Source organism: Homo sapiens, chromosome 7 (assembly GCF_000001405.40).
Source record: "Homo sapiens chromosome 7, GRCh38.p14 Primary Assembly".
In the NCBI taxonomy this organism is placed as follows: domain Eukaryota; kingdom Metazoa; phylum Chordata; class Mammalia; order Primates; family Hominidae; genus Homo; species Homo sapiens.
Genome location: NC_000007.14, coordinates 65,353,389 through 65,373,155, shown reverse-complemented (window position 1 = coordinate 65,373,155; position 19,767 = coordinate 65,353,389). Strand labels below are relative to the sequence as shown.

The 19,767-nt window shown below is 38.7% G+C and overlaps 1 pseudogene; it reads right to left on the bottom strand.

The window, feature by feature from the left end:
- Positions 15,867-17,203, bottom strand: LOC100533634 (zinc finger protein 737 pseudogene; annotated as a pseudogene).

The following is a 19,767-nucleotide window of genomic DNA, read 5'->3' as shown; positions in this document are numbered from 1 at the left end:
GGCAGCCTGAAATTTTAAAAAGAAGGCAATCCTCTAAAATAAAATGTGGGCGACACGTGAATTGTACATTTTTTAGCAGCCAAACTTTAAAAAGAAACAAGAAACAGGTGAAATTGATTGTAACAATTTAACCCAATATATCTAAAACCTTATTCTAATATGTGAGTGATATGTAATTATTAATAAAGTATATATATTTATTTGGAACTGAATCTTTGAAATTAACTCTATTTTACCTTTCTAGCACATTGCAATTCAGACCAGCCACATTCCAGGCAGCCAGTAGCTACACATGGCCAATAGCTGCCACATTGAAATGCAGCCCTGACATCAGGAGGGTGAAGGGTCTGAACACCCCTTTTCTGCCAGAAGTGAGGGGACAGCCTCTCTTTACCAACATCTTTCTACAGTTTTGAGGGTGGAACAAGATAGTCACCATAGAAAGAGCAGAGGGCAGCAAGAATAAAATAACCACAGGTACACCACTGCTGGCCACCTGTTGCCCACCTTTCTTCCAGAGATCAGACAGTAACCAAAAGATGATGGGGCCACAGGAGATTAAACGCTATGTCTTCAGATCTCTCCACAGTCATCACTTCCAGTGTTTAAGTATAGAGAAAACAGATTAAAGGTAAACTTATTTTGCTATTTGGCCTGGCCCTAGTGGCCAGAGTGTGTTTATCTGTTTTCTCCTGTGGCGTGGGGATTGTGTGAGTACAAGTACCAATCCCATGCAAACATGCCTACATATTTTTCTGCATTACTCAATATTATCTTACAAAACATCCAACTTTAGAGCAGAAAAAAAAATCAGCACTTTTAGGGTGCCAACTGTTGGAAGGTAACTATAACAACCAGTAATCAACCTGTCATTAAATCCTGGCATCCTATCTGCACTGTGTGCACGTATTAGTTAGGTATTGCAGCATAACAAACCAACCAAGGCTTTTTTTTTTTTTTAAATACAGAGTTTCGCTCTTGTTGCCCAAACTAGAGTGCAATGGCACGATCTCAGCTCACCGCAACCTCCGCCTCCTGGGTTCAAGTGATTCTCCTGCCTCAGCCTCCTGAGTAGCTGAGATTACAGGTATGCGCCACCACGCCTGGCTAATTTTGTATTTTTAGTAGAGATGGGGTTTCTCCTTGTTGGTCAGGCTGGTCTCAAACTGCTGACCTCAGGTAATCCGCCCACCCCGGCCTCCCAAAGTGCTGGGATTACAGGCGTGAGCCACTGCGCCCAACCCAGCTAAGGCTTCTTAGCTCACAATTGAGATGGTCAGTCATTTAAGCTGGGCTCAGTGGAGCAATTCTTCTGATCTCAGCTGAGCTCCTTCAGACATGTGTTATCAGCTGCTTGTTAACTAGGCAGCTGTGCTTCTGGATGTGCGCTTCTGGAGCTGTCAACAGGGACACCTTGCTTCTCCTCCCCATGGTATGTCATCCTCCAGCTGCCTAGCATGGGCTTTTTTTCACAGAGATGGCAGCATTGTGAAAGAAAAACAGAAGCATTCAAGACTGCTAAGCCCCAAACTGGCACGCTATCATGGTCACATGTTTTTACTGCCTTGAGCAAACAAGGCCAGCCAGATCTAGGTTTCGGAAAACAGATTCTGGATCTCAATGGGAACAGCTGTAAAAATCCCTGGCAACGGGCGTGGACATAGAAGGGATAAAAAATTGCTACCATTTTTGCAATCAGTATCATTCTACCTTTTTTTGCATATGTGGTTTATAGAACTCTTGTACATCAGGAAACTTGTCCAAAGACCCACATCTACTAAGTGGCTGGGCTGAGATTCAGGATCAACTCTGTCTGACCCCAAAGCCAATGCACCTCCATAAATAACACTACCAAAGTAACTGCCTTAGACCCTTGAAATCCTGGCGAGTGACCCTTCTAGAATAGATGCCAGATTCTTTCAAATTTATGCCCATATAGTACTGTTTAATTATTGCTAATACTCTCAAGAACTGCAGATGCACACGGTGGCTCACGTCTGTAATTTTGGCAGTTTGGGAGGCTGAGATGGGAGAATCACTTGAGCTCAGGAGTTCAAGTGCAGCCTGGGCAACATAGTAAGATCCTGTCTTCATGAAAAAAGTTAAAAAAATTAGCCAGGCATAATGGCATAATGGTGCATGCCTGTAGTCCCAGCTACTCGGGGAGCTGGAGCAGGAGGATTGCTTGAGCACGGAAGGTCAAGGCTGCAGTCAGCCATAAGTGGTTACACCACTGCACTCTAGTCTGGGTGATACAGTGAGACCCTATCTCGAAAATTTTTTTAAAAAAAGAAATTGCAGAAGCATTTTGAAAGAACGTAGAATAATCTGGGAAAATCGCTGAGGGATGAGTTTAGAAAATCAAAGCCCAACACATTATTTTTTATTGTAAAAAATTTGAAAACTTAAAAACAACCAACTTTAGAGATATTAAATTTATCAGAGTTTAATTGAGCAAAAAATAATTTGCAAATCAGGTAGCCTGTGGATCCAGAGTAGGCTCAGAGAGACTTCAGCACAGCCACCTGGTAGAAAAAGATTTATGGACAAAAAAAGCAAAGTGACACACAGAAAATGAAAGTGAGGTACTGAAACAGCCGGATTGATTACAGCTTGGGATTTGCCTTATTTGAACATTGTTTGAACAGTTAACTTTTTTATTGGCAAAAACACAGTGGTTGGTACAAGAATGTGTTACAGTCTACTTACATATCTAGTTAGGTTTCAGTTTACTATCTTGAAAAATACCTATTGACCAAACTTATACAGGAAAGGGGGCAGGTTTAGGCTATAATTAATTTAACAATTTTTCCCTTTTGGTTACCTTCTCAATTTTCAGATGTAGACCAAAACTTTAGACACTGATATCAGTCTGTCACCATTAAAAATGTACTTATTTAGTTTCAAATCCCACTGTGAAGTAACAGAACTGTGGGTTTCGTAAAGTGGAAATAAAGCCTTCAGGTTATTTTTTTAAAGGCTTACAGTAAGAGGACCTCCTTGTGTTGAAATCTACTGTTTACACATGAAAAACAAAACCTGGCCTATAGATCTTAAGGATCTACCTCTTTCCTTAAATTTTCAGTTTATGTGACATTTAGCATGAGTGACTCCATTTTGGTTTGGTTTGGTCTGTTTGGGCCTAGTGCACAAGCTCAGTCAGGAATAGTGGCCTCCGATAATTTTGTTTTAAAAATTCCCTCCATTTGGTTAAGTTCTCATGTGGGTCAGATTTTGACCAAAACTCAGGGCCTTCGTGCCACTTAGTTTCCATTGTTTTGGGTTTTTGTCCTTATCTATTATGTTATTCATAGGTCATGGTGTCCTCATGGTCACATATGTCTTTAAGTTTTTGTCATTCCAGTTAATGAGAAACCATTTGACATTCTGGAGATGACTGCATGCAAACATTTATAACTTTTGAGAGAATACAGTGCAGTAGGGAGACTACTATTTTGACATCAGGAGGGTAATACCAAGAGATTGAAGTACGCTTTTTAGCCAGGGTCCCCATGAACAAACCAACTACAATTAAATAAATCAAATAATTAGCTAGATAAATGATCTATTCATTTCAACCAAGCATCCTGTTCATTAATCTCCTGTAACTGAATCTCTGTAATATCCAATGTATTTCTCTAGTGCAAATACAAGTATTAGCAACTGCACAGATACTTCTCTGTTTATCCAGTAAGTAATCTAGAGAAATTCATCATTTAGCACAACTTTAATAAGAAAGTTTAAAGTCTATCGTGTAACCATAGCCTTTACAGTAAAATCTGCTACAGACCCAATTATAGGGGATAAATTTCTAACCATTGCCTCATTTACTCTAAACCATGGGAAAAAAGACCTAAAAATTATGCCCATTCAGAGGAGTAATGGCTTCCTGGCAATGCTCCCTAACCAATTCTGAATAAGTTCTCTTTAACTTATGAAGTAGGTTAAGAGCAGTGGACCAATATTCTGTTTCTGGTATTATGAGGCAACAAATGTCCCATTAAAATTTCTCACCTACATTGGCCCTTCATCTTTTACCTATCAAGGCATAAGTTTGTTCATATATAAGGTTTGGTGCAAAATTCTCTACATATAAAAGTATACCCCATAAGTGCACACAAGAGACCCCTTTTTTATTTTTGTTATTTACAGAGCCATTAAAAAAAATCTGTGAACTAAGAGTGTCATGATAGCAGAGATGTCTTGATTTTTTATCTTGTGTAAACAGCTATTTACATCAAGGTTGCCATCTTCTTTTGAGGAGAATCTTCCCTGGTTAACTTTACCTTAAAATCTCCAATGGGTATACAATTGCAAGAGATTGGAGGGCCCCTTCTGAGTTATAAGATTATGAAATCAAGGTTCAAGGTCCTCAAGTCTTGCTGCAGTGCAGATGGCAACCAGACTCAATCTCTGGGTTCTAGAGTATAAAGGGTTTTACTATCCTCAGTCAGTAGACTATTAGCTTTCTTTACCTGGTGAAAATATGCTTGGCCATAATGCCCTAAAGCCTTGCTGAATTTAGTGATAATTAGACTTCGGTAGCAGAAGATGCATGAGGTTCTATTATTAGGTGCATAGGACTTCCAATGACTATTTTATAAGGGTCAACACATTTTTTCCCCTCTAAGTGGATCTGATTGTCATCAATCTGCAACTACAAAAGCAATCCAATCAATTTACTTAGCTTTGCTCAATACTAGTGGATCTATAATACCTTATTTAACCGTTTTACAACTATTCTAATGAAATAAGTATCCTTATCATTGGAGACTTTTTCAGAAATGTCCCGTGAAGAAAACATGTTTCCTAATATCCTTTAAGCTACTGTTATAACATCAGCCTTCTTGCATAAGAAAGCTTTTATAATACCAGAAAACATGCATTAAAAATTACAGTAAAATATCTGTACAAACGTTTAACTGGCCCACCATGTAGCAGAAATGTACACGAAGTTTCAGTTTTCTTCTCAGGATTGTATGTTTTGTTTGTTTGTTTGTTAGTTTTTTTGAGACGGTGTAACATATATAATCTGCAGTTGCTTCTTGGGGGCATACTAAGCATGTCTGCTAGGTCTAGTTGTTTTTACCTTTTTAACTTTTTTGTATTTTTAGTAGAGATGGGGTTTCACCATGTGGCCAGGCTGGTCTCAAACTCCTGATCTTGTGATCTGCCTGCCTCGGCCTCCCAAAGTGCTGGGATTACAGGCATGAGCCACTGCACCCGGCCAATATTTTAGTATTTTAACACACAAATGACTCAGAAATGTTATGATGATTATTGAATTACCGTAATATGATTTTAATATTTTAAATTATAGAAAAGGATTTTGAAACTATGAAACAGGCATTATTCTCATTGTATTTCGCAGTCATCTTGGCTCTTAAGTAAGCATGCGGCACCCAAGATGGGTATAAAAGTCAGGTTTTGAGTAAGTCGTGAATTTATATACCAAGTGTGGAGCACAGGGCAGAAGAAAAATCCATCCTCTTTTTTTGCAGTGGCCTGATCTCGGCTCACTGCAAGCTCCGCCTCCCGCGTTTACGCCATTTTCGTGACTCAGCCTCCCGAATAGCTGGGACTACAGGCGCCGGCCACCACGCCTGGCTGATTTTTTTGTATTTTCAGTAGAGACGGGGTTTCACCGTGTTAGCCAGGATGGTCTCGATCTCCTGACCTCGTGATCCTCCCGCCTCGGCCTCCCAAAGTGCTGGGATTACAGGCTTGAGCCACCGCGCCCGGCCTCCATCCTCTTAAAGAAAAGCGAGGAGCAAAGCTGGAACAGAGAAGAAGGGGCCATATTGGGCTTGATTCTGTCTGGTAGCTGCCAGTGTAGGCACTGAGAATTTGTTGCCAGGCCTCAACACGGCCACCCAACCTGACACCTGAGTCCACAGGCTCAAAACCAAAAATTTGCTCAAGTATTGAATTATATTTAAATGATTATTATGAAGCCTTTTTTTTTTCCTCGAGATGGAGTCTCACGTTATTGCCCAGGCTGGAGTGCAGTGGTGTGATCTTGGCTCACTGCAACCTCTGCCTCCCAGGTTCAAGTGATTCTCTGCCTCAGCCTCCCAAGTCACTGGGACTACAGGCACCCACCACCACACCCAGCTAATTTTTTTATTTTTAGTAGAGACGGGGTTTCACCATGTTGGCTAGGTCTGTCTCAAACTCCTGACCTCAAGTGATTTGGCCTCCCAAAGTGCTGAGATTACAGGTGTGAGCCACTGCACCGGGCCTACAAAGCCATTTATATTTAACCAACAATTTAAAAACTACCTTTATTTACCAAGTATGGTCACATACACATAACACGTATAGACATAAGGACAAACATATAGAAGCAGATCTTATAGCTTTTCTAAACAATTTTCATCTGCTGGCTTTTAAATACTTTTCATTTTTCCCATTTAGCCTATCAAACTTCCAGTTACCTGTTTCATTGCTCTAAGCAATTTTTGTCTAGGCAACAAGCTTGCGTTTCTAATGGGACAACTTAGGTGAAACAAGAAACGTATATTTCTAAAGCACAGAGCTAACAATTTAGGCTAAAATGTTGTATTATTTTTTCGACCAATGAAAATATAGTGTAAGTAAAAGTTTAGTTAAGAGAAGATGGTCAGAAAAGCATATTAAATGTATGACTTGTGTAAATTTAAAACAATACTATTTTTTTTTTTCTGTCACCCAGGCTGGAGTGCAATGGCCTCATCTTGGCTCACTGCAACCTCCATCTCCTGGGTTCAAGCAATTCTATTGCTTCGGCCTCCAAAGTAGCTGGGATTACAGGCGCCTGCCACCATGCCTGGCTAATTTTTTTATTTTTTTGTATTTTTAGTAGGGATGGGGTTTCACCATGTTGGCCAGCCTTGTCTCAAACTCCTGAGCTCAAGTGATCCACCCTCCTCGGCCTCCTAAAGTGCTGGGATTACAGGCATGAGCCACAACGTTCGACCAAATATTTTTAATGTATTGCAGACACCTTACAAATAGAGATTTCCTTTACAGACATAGATTTTTTTTTTAAACAAAAGGATTTCAAGATAAATTTCAGGAAGTCGTAATTTAGTTCAAAAGGTGGTCTTTCTAACTTTGCTACTGTTCCTTGGCTATAATTACTGAGTTCAGCATGGAGCCTATTAAGAAATAGAGCAAAGAAAAAATTCTCTAAGGCTGGACTAAGCATGGATACATCTGACAAAGTAGCAAGCCTGCTTTACCTGAGGGTGTACTTTTACAAACACTTTATTTAGGATAATTTTCTTTTCACCTTCAAGGAGAAATGTCTACATATCTGTACAGATTTATAGCTATCATCAGTTTCTAATTTTCTTTCACTCTGGTTAGAGAACACACATTGCATTTGTTAAATACTTAAATTGCATTTTTTATTTTTATGGCATTGAGTATATTCTCTCCTAGAGAAGATTCCACATGCATTTAAGGAGAATATATAACCTGCAGGTGCTTCCTGGGGGCATACTAAGCATGTCTGCTAGGTCTAGTTATTTTTACCTTTCTTTTCAAGTGCTTCATTTTCTTGCTGATCTTCTTACTGCTTTTTAAATGATTATTAAAAGATATGTATGTCTTCGATTATCATCGTTGAATTCTCTATTTTTTCTTCATTTTTCTCGGTTTTGACTTTATGTATTTTGCCGATTATTTCTTGGTGTATATATGTTTATAATTGTCATGCCATCCTTTTTATTATCTTTTTTATTATCCATTTTATCTCTATCAAATGTCCTACTTTATGTCTATTAAATATTTTTGTTTTAAATTCTGCTTATTCTAATTTTAAAATAACAGCTACAACTTTCTTTTTTCTTTTCTTTCTTTTTTTTTTTTGAGACAGAGTCTCGCTCTGTCGCCCAAGCCGGAGTGAAATGGCATGATCTCGGCTCACTGCAACCTCTGCTTCTCGGGTTCCAGCGATTCTCCTGCTTCAGCCTCCTGAGTAGCTGAGACTACAGGCGTATGCCACCAAGCCTGATTAATTTTTTTGTACTTTTGGTAGAGACGGGGTTTCACCATGTTGGCCAGGCTGGTCTCAAACTCCTGGCCTCAAATGATCCGCCAGCCTCGGCCTCCCAAAGTGCTGGGATTACAGGCATAAGCCACCGTGCCCAGCCAACAAATACAACTTTCTTATGGTAGCTATTTGCATGCTTCCGCCTTTTCACTTTTATAGTATTTGTTCTTTTGTATCCAAAGTGCATGTATTGTGAACAGCATTCAATTAGATTTTTCTATATTTAATTTTTTAAATCTCAGCTTTCCTTAATTGTTTAATTTTTTTTTTTTTTTTGACGTAGTTTCACTGTGTCGCCCAGGCTGAAGTGCACTGGTGTGATCTTGGGTCACTGCAACTCCACCTCCCGGGTTCAAGAGATTCTCCTGCCTCAGCCTCCTGAGTAGCTGGGACTCCAGGCGTGCAGCACCACACCCAGGTAATTTTTGTATTATTAGTAGAGATGGGGTTTCACCATGTTGGCCAGGCTGGTCTCGAACTCCTGACCTCAAGTGATCCGCCTGCCTTGGCCTCCCAAAGTGCTGGGATTACAGGCGTGAGCCACTGCACCTGGCCCTGTTTAATCTTTTTATATGTAATGTTATTATTTATATAGCTGTGCTTATATTTGTTATATTATTTTCTTTTCTATAATCTCATGCATTTTGTTATATTTTTCTACTTCTACTGCTTTGTTTTGCATTAAGAGCATAATTATTATGTAACATTCTAATTTCTTTCATAATTTTCTTCACATATTTTTGGAATTATACCCTTAGTTGTTTCTCTAATTCTTACAATTAGAGATGGAGTCTCGCTCTGTCGCCAGGCTGGAGTGCAGTGGCACGATCTCAGCTCACTGCAACCTCAGCCTGCGGGGTTCAAGTGATTCTCCTGCCACAGCCTCTGGAGTAGCTGGAACTACAGGCGTGGGCCACCATGCCCAGCTAATTTTTGTATTTTTAGTAGAGACAGGGTTTCACCATGTTGGCCAGGATGGTCTCGATGTGTTGACCTTGTGTTCCGCCTGCCTCAGTCTCCCAAAGTGCTGGAATTACAGGTGTGAGCCACCGTACCCAGCCTAAAACATACTTTTTTTTTTTTTTTTTTGAGACGGAGTCTCACTCTGTCTCCTAGGCTGGAGTGCAATGGTGCGATCTTGGCTCACTGCAACCTCTGCCTCCCGGGTTCAAGCGATTCTCCTGCCTCAGCCTCCCGAGTAGCTGGGATTACAGGCACCCAACACTACGCCCAGCTAATTTTTCTATTTTTAATAGAGACGGGTTTCACCATGTTGGTCAGGCTGGTCTCGAACTCCTGATCTCAGGTGATCCGCCCGCCTCGGCCTCCCAAAGTGCTGGAATTACAGGCATGAGCTACCATGCCCGGCCCCACAATATACATCTTATGTCATTAGAATGTGTTTCACATTTATACAAACTTAATACTAATGAAATACAAAACATGTTGGTTCTATATTATTTGTTCCTCTCATTTTTGTTGTATTAATTTTACACTTATTATATCCACATGTTATAAATTTGACACATTTTTACACTTATTTTATATAATTTTATTTATTTTAAGGAAAAGGTAATTACATATCTACGTCTTTTTTGATAATCATCCTTTTATTAGTTGTTTTATTTACTTATTCCAGTGGAATCAATTTATTATCAAGAGATTTTATTTTTTTGAGACAGAGTCTTGCTTTGTCCCCCACGCTGGAGTGCAGTGGTGTGATCTCAGCTCACTGCAACCTCAGCCTTCCAGGTTCAAGTGATTCTCCTGCCTCAGCCTGCCAAGTAGCTGGGATTACAGGCGCACACCACCACGCCCAGCTAATTTTTGTATTTTTAGTAGAGACGGGGTTTCACCATGTTGGTCAGGCTGGTCTCGAACTCCTGACCTCGTGATTTGCCCGCCTTGGCCTCCCAAAGTGCTGGATTACAGGCATGAGCCACCACACCCAGCCTATATTCATATTTTTATACAATTGTTTGTCTGAAATGAAGTAAGATAATAACGAAAAAGTAATATTCTTTTATACTTTCTTTTGTAATAATTACCTTTACCAATACTCTGTCATTTTATGTGAATTCAAATTATTATCTGTGGTCAGTTGATTTTAGCCTTATCTTCGTTTAATATTTTCTGTAAGATGGGCTGGCTAGCACCAAATTTTCTCAGTTTTTTTGCTCTGGAATGTGTTTATTTTACATTTAGTTTTAATAAATATATTTTCTCAATGTAGGATTTTTACATGACAATTTTTCTTTGAGGAATAAGAAAATTTCAATTGAACGTGAAAGGCTTTCAAGAGTGATTAGTCTTAATAATTAAAGCCTTAATAACTGAGGCTTATATAGTTTACTAACTAAAGCCTTTTAGTTTTAATAACTAAGAGCTTAGTTATTAAAGGCTTTAGTTTTAATAAATATATTTTCTTAGTACAGGATTTTTACATGACAGTTTTTCTTTGAAAACTAGAAACAAATTTCAGTTAAACTTGAAAGGCCTTTCAAGAGGACAAATCAATACCTAAAAACGCCAACTGGGTTAACATAGGAAAGCCTATCAATGGCAGAAGATAATATGTTAAATTGGGTTGGAGAGAGCAGTGAGAATAAAACTTGTGGACAATAAAAGTATATAAGGTGAGCCAGGCATGGTGGTTCATGCCTGCAATCCCAGCACTTTGGGAGGCCGAGGCAGGTGGATCGTCTGAGGTCAGGAGTTTAAGACCAGCCTGGCCAACATGGTGAAACCTCATCTCTACTAAAAATCCAAAAACATAGCGAGGCGTGGTGGCCGGCGCCTGTAATCCCAGCTACTCGGGAGGCTGAGGCAGGAGAACCACTTGAACTCGGGAGACGGGATTTGCAGTGAGTCGAGGTCACGCCACTATACTCCAGCCTGGACAACAAGAGCGAAACTCCATCTCAAAAAAAAAAAAAAAAAAAAAACAAAGAAAAAGAAAAAGTATATAAGGTGAGTAGTTCTGACTGAGGTCAAATGAGGAGCTATTATTATTATTTATTTTATTTTATTTTTTTGAGACGGAGTCTAGCTCTGTTGCCCAGGCTGGAGTGCAGTGGCGCAATCTCGGCTCACTGCAACCTCCACCTCCTGGGTTCCAGCGATTCTCCTGCCTCAGCCTCCCGAGTAGCTGGGATTACAGGCGCCCGCCACCACACCCAGCTAATTTTTATATTTTTAGTAGAGACTAAAAGGTTAACTTTTAGGTTCAACATAGGTTTCACTATGTTGGCCAGGCTGGTCTTGAACTTCTGACCTCAGGTGATCTGTCCACCTCAGCCTCCCAAACTGCTGGGATTACAGGCGTGAGCCACAGCACCCAGCCAAGATCTCTTGAAGACAGGTTATCTCAAAACTCAAGGAGCTTAAAATGGAGGCATTCTGCTCTTCTTAGTAAACGCACCTCAACAAGTTAGTTGAGAGAAGAGGTGAAAAGCAGCCTGTATTTTGCTCCCATGTCTGGTCCGCTGGCTTACAGATGTGTTGTCTGCAAGACAGAGGACTTTGCATATGTAAGTCTGATAGAGGTAGCATTTTTCTAATTCCCACAAAGGTGCTTTTGGTCTAATTCTGACTGTGAAAAAACTAGAGACCACTGGAGAATATATGTAGAAGACACCCTGAATCACTTCAACCACGGGCATACATTGGGAAATCTGGCATTGTGTTCTATTTATTGTAATGTTTTGGTTATTGGGAGGTATTGGTTTTGCTGCCAAAGACTAAGACCACACAATCTACCAGGCCAAAGTTATCGGGAAAAGTGAGCTCACACAGAATAATTTAAAACCCAGTTATTCCTATTGTGTTTTCCAGTAATTCTGTTCAGTTTTTCCTTTTGTGGCTCCATTTCTAATTATCAGAAAGCTAGGACTTGTCATTCTTATAGAGTTTACATTAAAATTATGGGTCTGGAGGGGGATGAGCTAATGGCATGGCTTCCTTGTAAGTATATATTGGGGGCCTCATCCCTCATGCATAGACTCACTTCAGGACTCATTTGGGTAAATGTCTATTTGTCAGCATTATTAAAAGTGAGAGTTCAAGACTCAGGTAAGTGATTGAATGAGGTAGAATTTTCTCAATAAAATGCTAAAATAATTCCCTTCTAATAATTTCAGTAATATATCTTAGTGAGTAATAGCTAAATGCAGTAGAAGTTTCCAAATTAAAAGATCAATTTCATGAATTTTATTAGGCTATAAATTTTGAAAGGATTTTAAAAATTTTGAAAGAATTTGTAATATTACCTTTGAATTAGAATTGCATTTTACATTTTATCATTTTTCTAATTTTAATTTACAGTATATATAAAACTAAAATTTTGAATGTTATTATAAAAGATAGCGGAACTTGTTCAGAATTCAGTCATTCTTTCTTCTTCCTTTTTTTTTTTGAGACAGATTTTCGCTCTTGTTGCCCAGGCTGGAGTACAATGGGGTGATCTCAGCTCACTGCCACCTCCGCCTCCCTGGTTCAAGCGATTCTCCTGCCTCAGCCTACTGGGTAGCTGGGATTACAGGCGCTTGCCACCTTGCCCGGCTAATTTTTGTATTTTTAACTCCTGACCTCAGGTGATCCACCTGCCTCGGCCTCCCAAAGTGCTAGGATTACAAGTGTGAGCCACAGCACCCGCCCATTTTTTTTCAGAATTGGAAATACTTTAGTATATTTATACTCTTTACAACCATCTAAAATTGAAATGTAGTAAACCATAAGATTATTATTCAACCTTTCTCATTTATTAGCTTGTAGCAGATAACCATAAAAAATGTTTAATTCTGTTACAGCAATTGCTAATACAAAAATGTTCTAGTTTTTATAAACTAGAAATATCTGCATTTGGCATTTACTAAATTTTTGTGGAGTTAGTTACTAAATAACAGATATAGAAGCTTTTAATAGTAAGCATAATTATAAACATAAATTCAGTTATAGTATTTCATATCTCATCACAAAACTAAGTTATAAAATATTATTCATATTAATCGGCTGGGTAACACTTTTTAGCAATAAAAGAATAATAATCTGCAAAAATTGAAGAAGATAGCATCCCCTTTTTATTAAAAAAAACTCTGGGCCGGGCATGGTGGCTCACGCCTGTAATCCCAGCACTTTGGGAGGCTGAGGCGGGTGGATCACCTGAGGTCAACAGTTCGAGACCAGCCTGACCAACATGGTGAAACCCCGTCTCTACTAAAAATACAAAAATTAGCCGGACATGGTGGCACACACCTGTAATCCCAGCTACTAAAGAGGCTGAAGCAGGAGAATCGCTGGAACCCGGGAGGCAGAGGCTGCAGTGAGCCGAGATGGCACTACTGCACTCCAGCCTGGGCGACAGAGTGAGTCTCTGTCTTAAAAACAAAAACAACAACAAAAAAAAAACCTCTGAATTTTTTACTCATACAGTCTCATAAAATTTTAAATTTGCAATTTGCTTTTTAAGATATATTCACAAATTTGAAAAGTATGTTTCAATTTTGTTAATAAAATGTACACGTTAATGTTTTATTTCAGTAGGGATAGTGTCCTTTTATTGTCTATGATTCTTAAAATGAAAGACAGTATGAAGTAAGGGTACTTTGAAATCAAAAGACAAAATATTGATAATAATTGTTTATTTGTGACCAATGAGGGCATAAAATTGTTAAGAAAATTAAACAGTACAAAATTATGTAATCACATAAGCGTCTTAATATTCGATAAGGCATTTTAATTCTGTGTGTCTTTGTTTTGTGCACTTAGAGATAGTAATGTCAGAGAGAAAAGAACCTCAACTACTTTCAGTGTACATTTCCAACTTGGAAATATCTCTCCAAATTTAATATTTGACATGGTTAGTATGACTCTCATTATCTCTTTACTGTTATGCACATGGATATGATGACAAAGGATATTGGAAGGCTTTAGATAAAAAAAAGTGTTTATTGCCGGGTGCGGTGACTCACGCCTGTAATCCCAGCACTTTGGGAGGCCGAGGCGGGCAGATCACGAGGTCAGGAGATCGAGACCATCCTGGCTAACACGGTGAAACCCCATCTCTACTAAAAATACAAAAAATTAGCCAGGCGTGGTGGCGGGCACCTGTAGTTCCAGCTACTCGGGAGGCTGAGGCAGGAGAATGGCGTGAACCCAGGAGGCGGAGCTTGTAGTGAGCCGAGATCGCCCCACTGCACTCCAGCCTGGGCGACAGAGCGAGACTCCGTCTCAAAAAAAAAAAAAAAGTGTTTATTCACTAATATCTTAGTTGGGATGACCAGAAAACAATCGACAACAACAACAAAAAGAAACAAAAAACTGGCCGGGTGTGGTGGCTCACGCCTGTAATCCCAGCACTTTGGGTGGCTGAGGCGGGTGGATCACGAGGTCAAGAGTTCGAGACTAGCCTGACCAACAGGGTGAAACCCCATCTCTACTAAAAATACAAAAATTAGCCAGGCGTGGTGGCGCATGCCTGTAATCCCAGCTACTCAGGAGGCTGAGGCAGGAGAATCAATTGAACCCGGGAGGCAGAGGTTGCAGTGAGCCAAAATTGAGCCACTTCACTCCAGCCTGGGTGACAGAGTGAGACTCTGTCTTAAAAAAAAAAAAAAAAAGAGAGAGAGAGAGAGAGAAACTTCCATTAGGATTGTTAGGGTTTTCTAATATTGGCAACACAGTATTTGTGACCAAGCCCCTCCAGAGTCTTTCTGTGTGCTACTTTTGCAGTGATACTTCCCCTGCCTATGCTTTTTCCTAGGGCATCTGAGAATTAAGTGTTTTGAAATTAGCAATATGTTTGTCAGCAAGAATTGTGTTTTCAGTTAGACCCAATACTAAGTTTAATTTCTAATAAATTGTTGATGCATTGCAGTGATTTGATGACATCTGATGATTATATTTCTTATTCTGTCATTTGTGTTTAATAAAGATCATGCATCTTAAATTTCAGTATCCATAATATTTCATGAAAAAGAATATGAATGATGCCAAGAACTTCTCATAGCTTTAATGCAGCAACAATTGATCGAATGCTTTTTAATAAATGCTACAAATGAAGGCATAGCATCAAGTGATGAGTTTAATTACATCAATATTCACATTTCAAAAAATCTAAAATTCTTTCAATATAAAACAATAAACTTCAAATATAATTATAACTCTTCAAAGATCAAACTCTTGCTTCTTTTAGTCTTACATAAAAATAAATTATGTATTTTAACTTTTTTTTGAGACAGAGTCTTGTTCTGTCGCTTAGGCTGGAGTGCAGTGGCACTATCTTGAGTCACCGTAACCTCCGCCTCCCGGGTTTAAATGATTCTCCTGCCTCAGCCTCTCGAGTAGCTGGGAGAACAGGCGCCACACCACTATGGTTCGGCTACATTTTTTTAATTTTTAGTAGAGACAGAATTTCATCATGTTTGCCAGGCTGGTCTTGAACTCCTGACCTCAAGTAATCCACCTGCCTTGGCCTCCGAAAGTGCTGGGATTACAGGCATGAGTCACCGAGCCCAGCCTTAACTTTGGATTAATCTCTATAATCAACACTCTGCTTAATGTCTAAAGTGTTGTGTGTGCCTTAGTGATTTCTACTGTGAATTATCTGATGATTACTTTGGCTATATTTATTTTTTTACATTTACTGAATCTGAAAAAAATCTCATTTAATGTGAACATTTTGCTGTTTTCTAAAAACATCATTTAATGTGAACACTCTGATGTCTTCTGATATTTTTAGAACAGCTTTTCTTCATTTATTGTATTTGTAGTGTCTGTCTCCAATACAAATTCTCTAAAGTTGAATAAAGTGTGAGCAACTGTTTGAGGATTTCTCTCCAGTATAATTTCTCCTGTGTACAAGAAGATCAATGATATAAGTGAAGGCATTGAACTCGTCTTTGTATTTGCAATGTTGTTCTTCACTAAAACTTTTTGCAATCTAAGGCTTGTATTTTGTAAAATGTCTTTAGACAGTAATTACATTTATAACACTACTAGTCGGTATGAACTCTTCCATATCAAGTAAGATAACAGGTATTACAGACATTGCCACATTCTTCACATCTGTAAAATTTTTCTCAGGTTTAAATTTCCTCATGTACAGTAAGGTGTAAGAACTGGTAAAAGGCTTTGGCACATTCTTTACATTTGTATGGTTTCTATTTGGTGTGAGTTGCCTTATGATTAGCAAGATTTGAGTGTTAAAGGCTTTGTCCCACTCTACATTTTCAGGGTTTCCCTCCAGTATGAATGTTCTTATGTTCATTAAGGTGTGAGCTCTGATTAAAGGCTTTGCCACATTCTTCACATTTGTAGAATTTCTCTCCAGGATGAGTTATCTGATGTCTAGTAAGGTATGAAAACCATATAAAAGCTCTGCCACATATTACCCATTTATATGGTTTCACTGCAGTATGAATGTCCTTACGTTGAGTAAAGTATAGCAACAATTTAAAGGCCACACTCTTCACATTTGTAGGGTTTCTCTCCACTACAAAGTATTACACGTTTAGTAAAATTTGAAGACTGTGACTATGTCACATTTGTCACATTTATAGATTTCTCTCCAGGATGAATTCTCTTATGTTGAGTAAGGGATGAGGACCACTTAAAGACTCTGCCACATCTTTCACATTCGTTGGGTTTCTTTTCAGCATAAATTCTCTTAATAATAGAAAGGGTAGAGCAAGATTTAACCACTTGGCTACATTCATTACATTTGCAATGTTTCTCTCCAATATGACTTCCCTTATTTTCAGTTAAGTGTGAGCACTTATTAAAGCCTTTGGCACATTATTTACATTTGTGGGGATTCCATCCGGTATTGATTCTCTGATGTTGACTTACAATTTAAGACATTTAAAATAATCTGTTACTTTTTTTACATTTAAAATCTTTCTCTCCAATATGTCCAGCATGTCTTATGTCTATTTATTATTGAAGATTTACTAAAGACTTTCACACATTTATTACATTGAAAGATTTTGCTATGAATAGTGGATGAACATTGGTTAAGTCCATTGTAACATGCCCCATACACTCACCCACACTTTTTCAGTCTTTTCTTACATGTAAATTCTGAAGATTGCAGTTTCCATGTCTTCTCAGTATTACACTTTGGAATTAATGTATTTTGCTTTGCTTTGGCAATTTATCTTCAGTGAAATAGAAGACACCATTGGAAGAAAGAAAAAAAAAGTATCCCACTTACTAGACTCAGGTGAATATGCTTTACACATCTAATGTATAAAGTTCTACCAAGTACCTGAGCAAGATGGCATAATAAAATACCACAGGTCTTTATATACATACACACGTAACAAGAATATACTTAATGAAATTCCATTGTAATAATTCTAAAAATTAAGAGTTTGCAGCACTACAGGTTAGCACAATGCCAAGAGCCAAATAGAAGAAGGAAAGTGTATTACATTTACCCATTACAACCCTTCTTCCTCTCCAATGCAGCATGATGCCTCTAGAAGTAAATTTCTGACTTCTCCCTCAAGAGAGAAAGAAAATACTGGCAGAGATGTCCATACTTCTAGCTTTTAGGGAACTTTTTAAAGACTGATTTTTGTCTCCTATAACATAAAGTGCTAAAAGGAATGGTGCTATACTTTGAATGACAGGCTGCTTCTGCTGAGAGCAAAGATAAATAATTCTCACAGCAGTACAGAGAGGTCAGTATCACAAATAAACAACAGGTATAGCAAGTGATTATAGTCTCTTAAGAAGAAACACAGACAAACTTCATTAATTTAAAAAATGTACAAACAATCCCAGGGTAGACACATCCTGAAGAACAAGTTTGAGAGGGTTCTAGAATCTCTAGCTTGGTCAACTGGTATCAGACTCCCTCATGACAAAGCCACTTTATAAATACTGTGACAAAAAGCTTTTTGTAAATGCACAAATTTCAATAAAAGTTTATAACATATACAAAGTTTCACCATAATATGGCCCTCAAAACCCTCTATAAATATCCATATATCAACCCTAAAGAAATGGAGAAATACCAATTACCTGAAAAATTCAAAATAACTATCTGAGTGATGTTCAATGCATAAAATGGGAAAACAGACAAGTAAATGAAAGCAGGAAAATGAGAATATCAGCCAAAAGATTAAAAGTATAAAAAGAAACAAAAACTACGGAGCTGAAGAATATATTAAGATATAATGACTGAAAAATCCTCAAACATAAAGAAAACACTTGTAAAAAATCAAGAAGCTTAACATACTTTAGGATAAACACAAAGTGACTCATAACAAGACAGATTATAAACAAAAATTTTAAAGTCATAGATAGGCTGGGTGTGGTGGCTCATGCCTGTAATCCCAGCACTTTGGGAGGCTGAGGCAGGCAGATCACCTGAGGTCAGGAGTTCAAGACCAGCCCAGCCAACATGGTGAAACCCTGTCTCTACTAATAATACCTTTAATCTCAGCTACTCGGGAGGCTGAGGCAGGAGAATTGCTTGAACCTGGGAAGTGAAGGTTGCGGTGAGCCAAGATTGCACCACTGCACTCCAGCTTGGGCAACAGAATGAGATTCTGTCAGAAAAGAGAAGAGGAGAGGAGAGGAGAGGAGAGGAGTCATAGACAAATACGGAATCTTGGAAGCAGCAAAAGAAATCTAACGTGTTGTCTGTAAGTTTGTTACAATGAGATTGGCAGTGGTTTTATCCACAGAGTCCCTACAGGCCAGAAAAAAAAGTTGAGAAACACAGTTAAAGTCCTGAAAGAGAAAAATTTCCAAGGAAGAATACTATAACCAGAAAAATTCTTCTTCAAAATGAAAAAAAAATTACAAGATAACCAAATGCTCATTAATATTCACATTTCAAAAAATCTAAAATTCTTTCCATGTAAAACAATAAACTTTATTTTTTATTTTTTAAAATTATTATTATACTTTAAGTTCTATGATACATGTGCACAACGTGCAGGTTTGTTACATATGTATACATGTGCCATGTTGATGTGCTGCACCTGTTAATTTGTCATTTACATTAGGTGTATCTCCTAATACTATCCCTCCCCTCTTCCCCCACCCCACGACAGGACCCAGTGTGTGAGGTTCCCCACCCTGTGTCCAAGTGTTCTCATTGTTCAATTCCCACCTATGAGTGAGAAAATGTGGTGTTTGGTTTTCTGTCCTTGTGATAGTTTGCTCAGAATAATGGTTTCCAGCTTCATCCATGTCCCTACAAAGGACATGAACTCATCCTTTTTTATGGCTGCATAGTATTCCATGGTGTATATGTGCCACATTTTCTTAATCCAGTCTATCATTGATGGACATTTGGGTTGGTTCCAAGTCTTTGCTATTGAACAATAAACTTTAAATATAATTACAACTCTTCAAAAATCAAACTCTTGCTTCCTTTAGTCTTACATAAAAATAAATTCTGTATTTTAACTTTTTTTTTGAGACAGAGTCTCGCTCTGTCGCTTAGGCTGGAGTGCAGTGCCACTATCTTGAGTCACCGCAACCTCTGCCTCCCGGGTTTAAATGAGTCTCAAAATAAATAAATATTGGCCAGGCACAGTGGCTCACGCCTGTAATCCCAGCACTTTGGGAGGCAGAGGCAGGTGGATCACGAGGTCAGGAGATGGAGGCCATCCTGGCTAACTCAGTGACACCCCGTCTCTTCTAAAAATACAAAAAGTTAGCCGGGCGTGGTGGCGGGAGCCTGTAGTCCCAGCTACTCAGGAGGCTGAGGC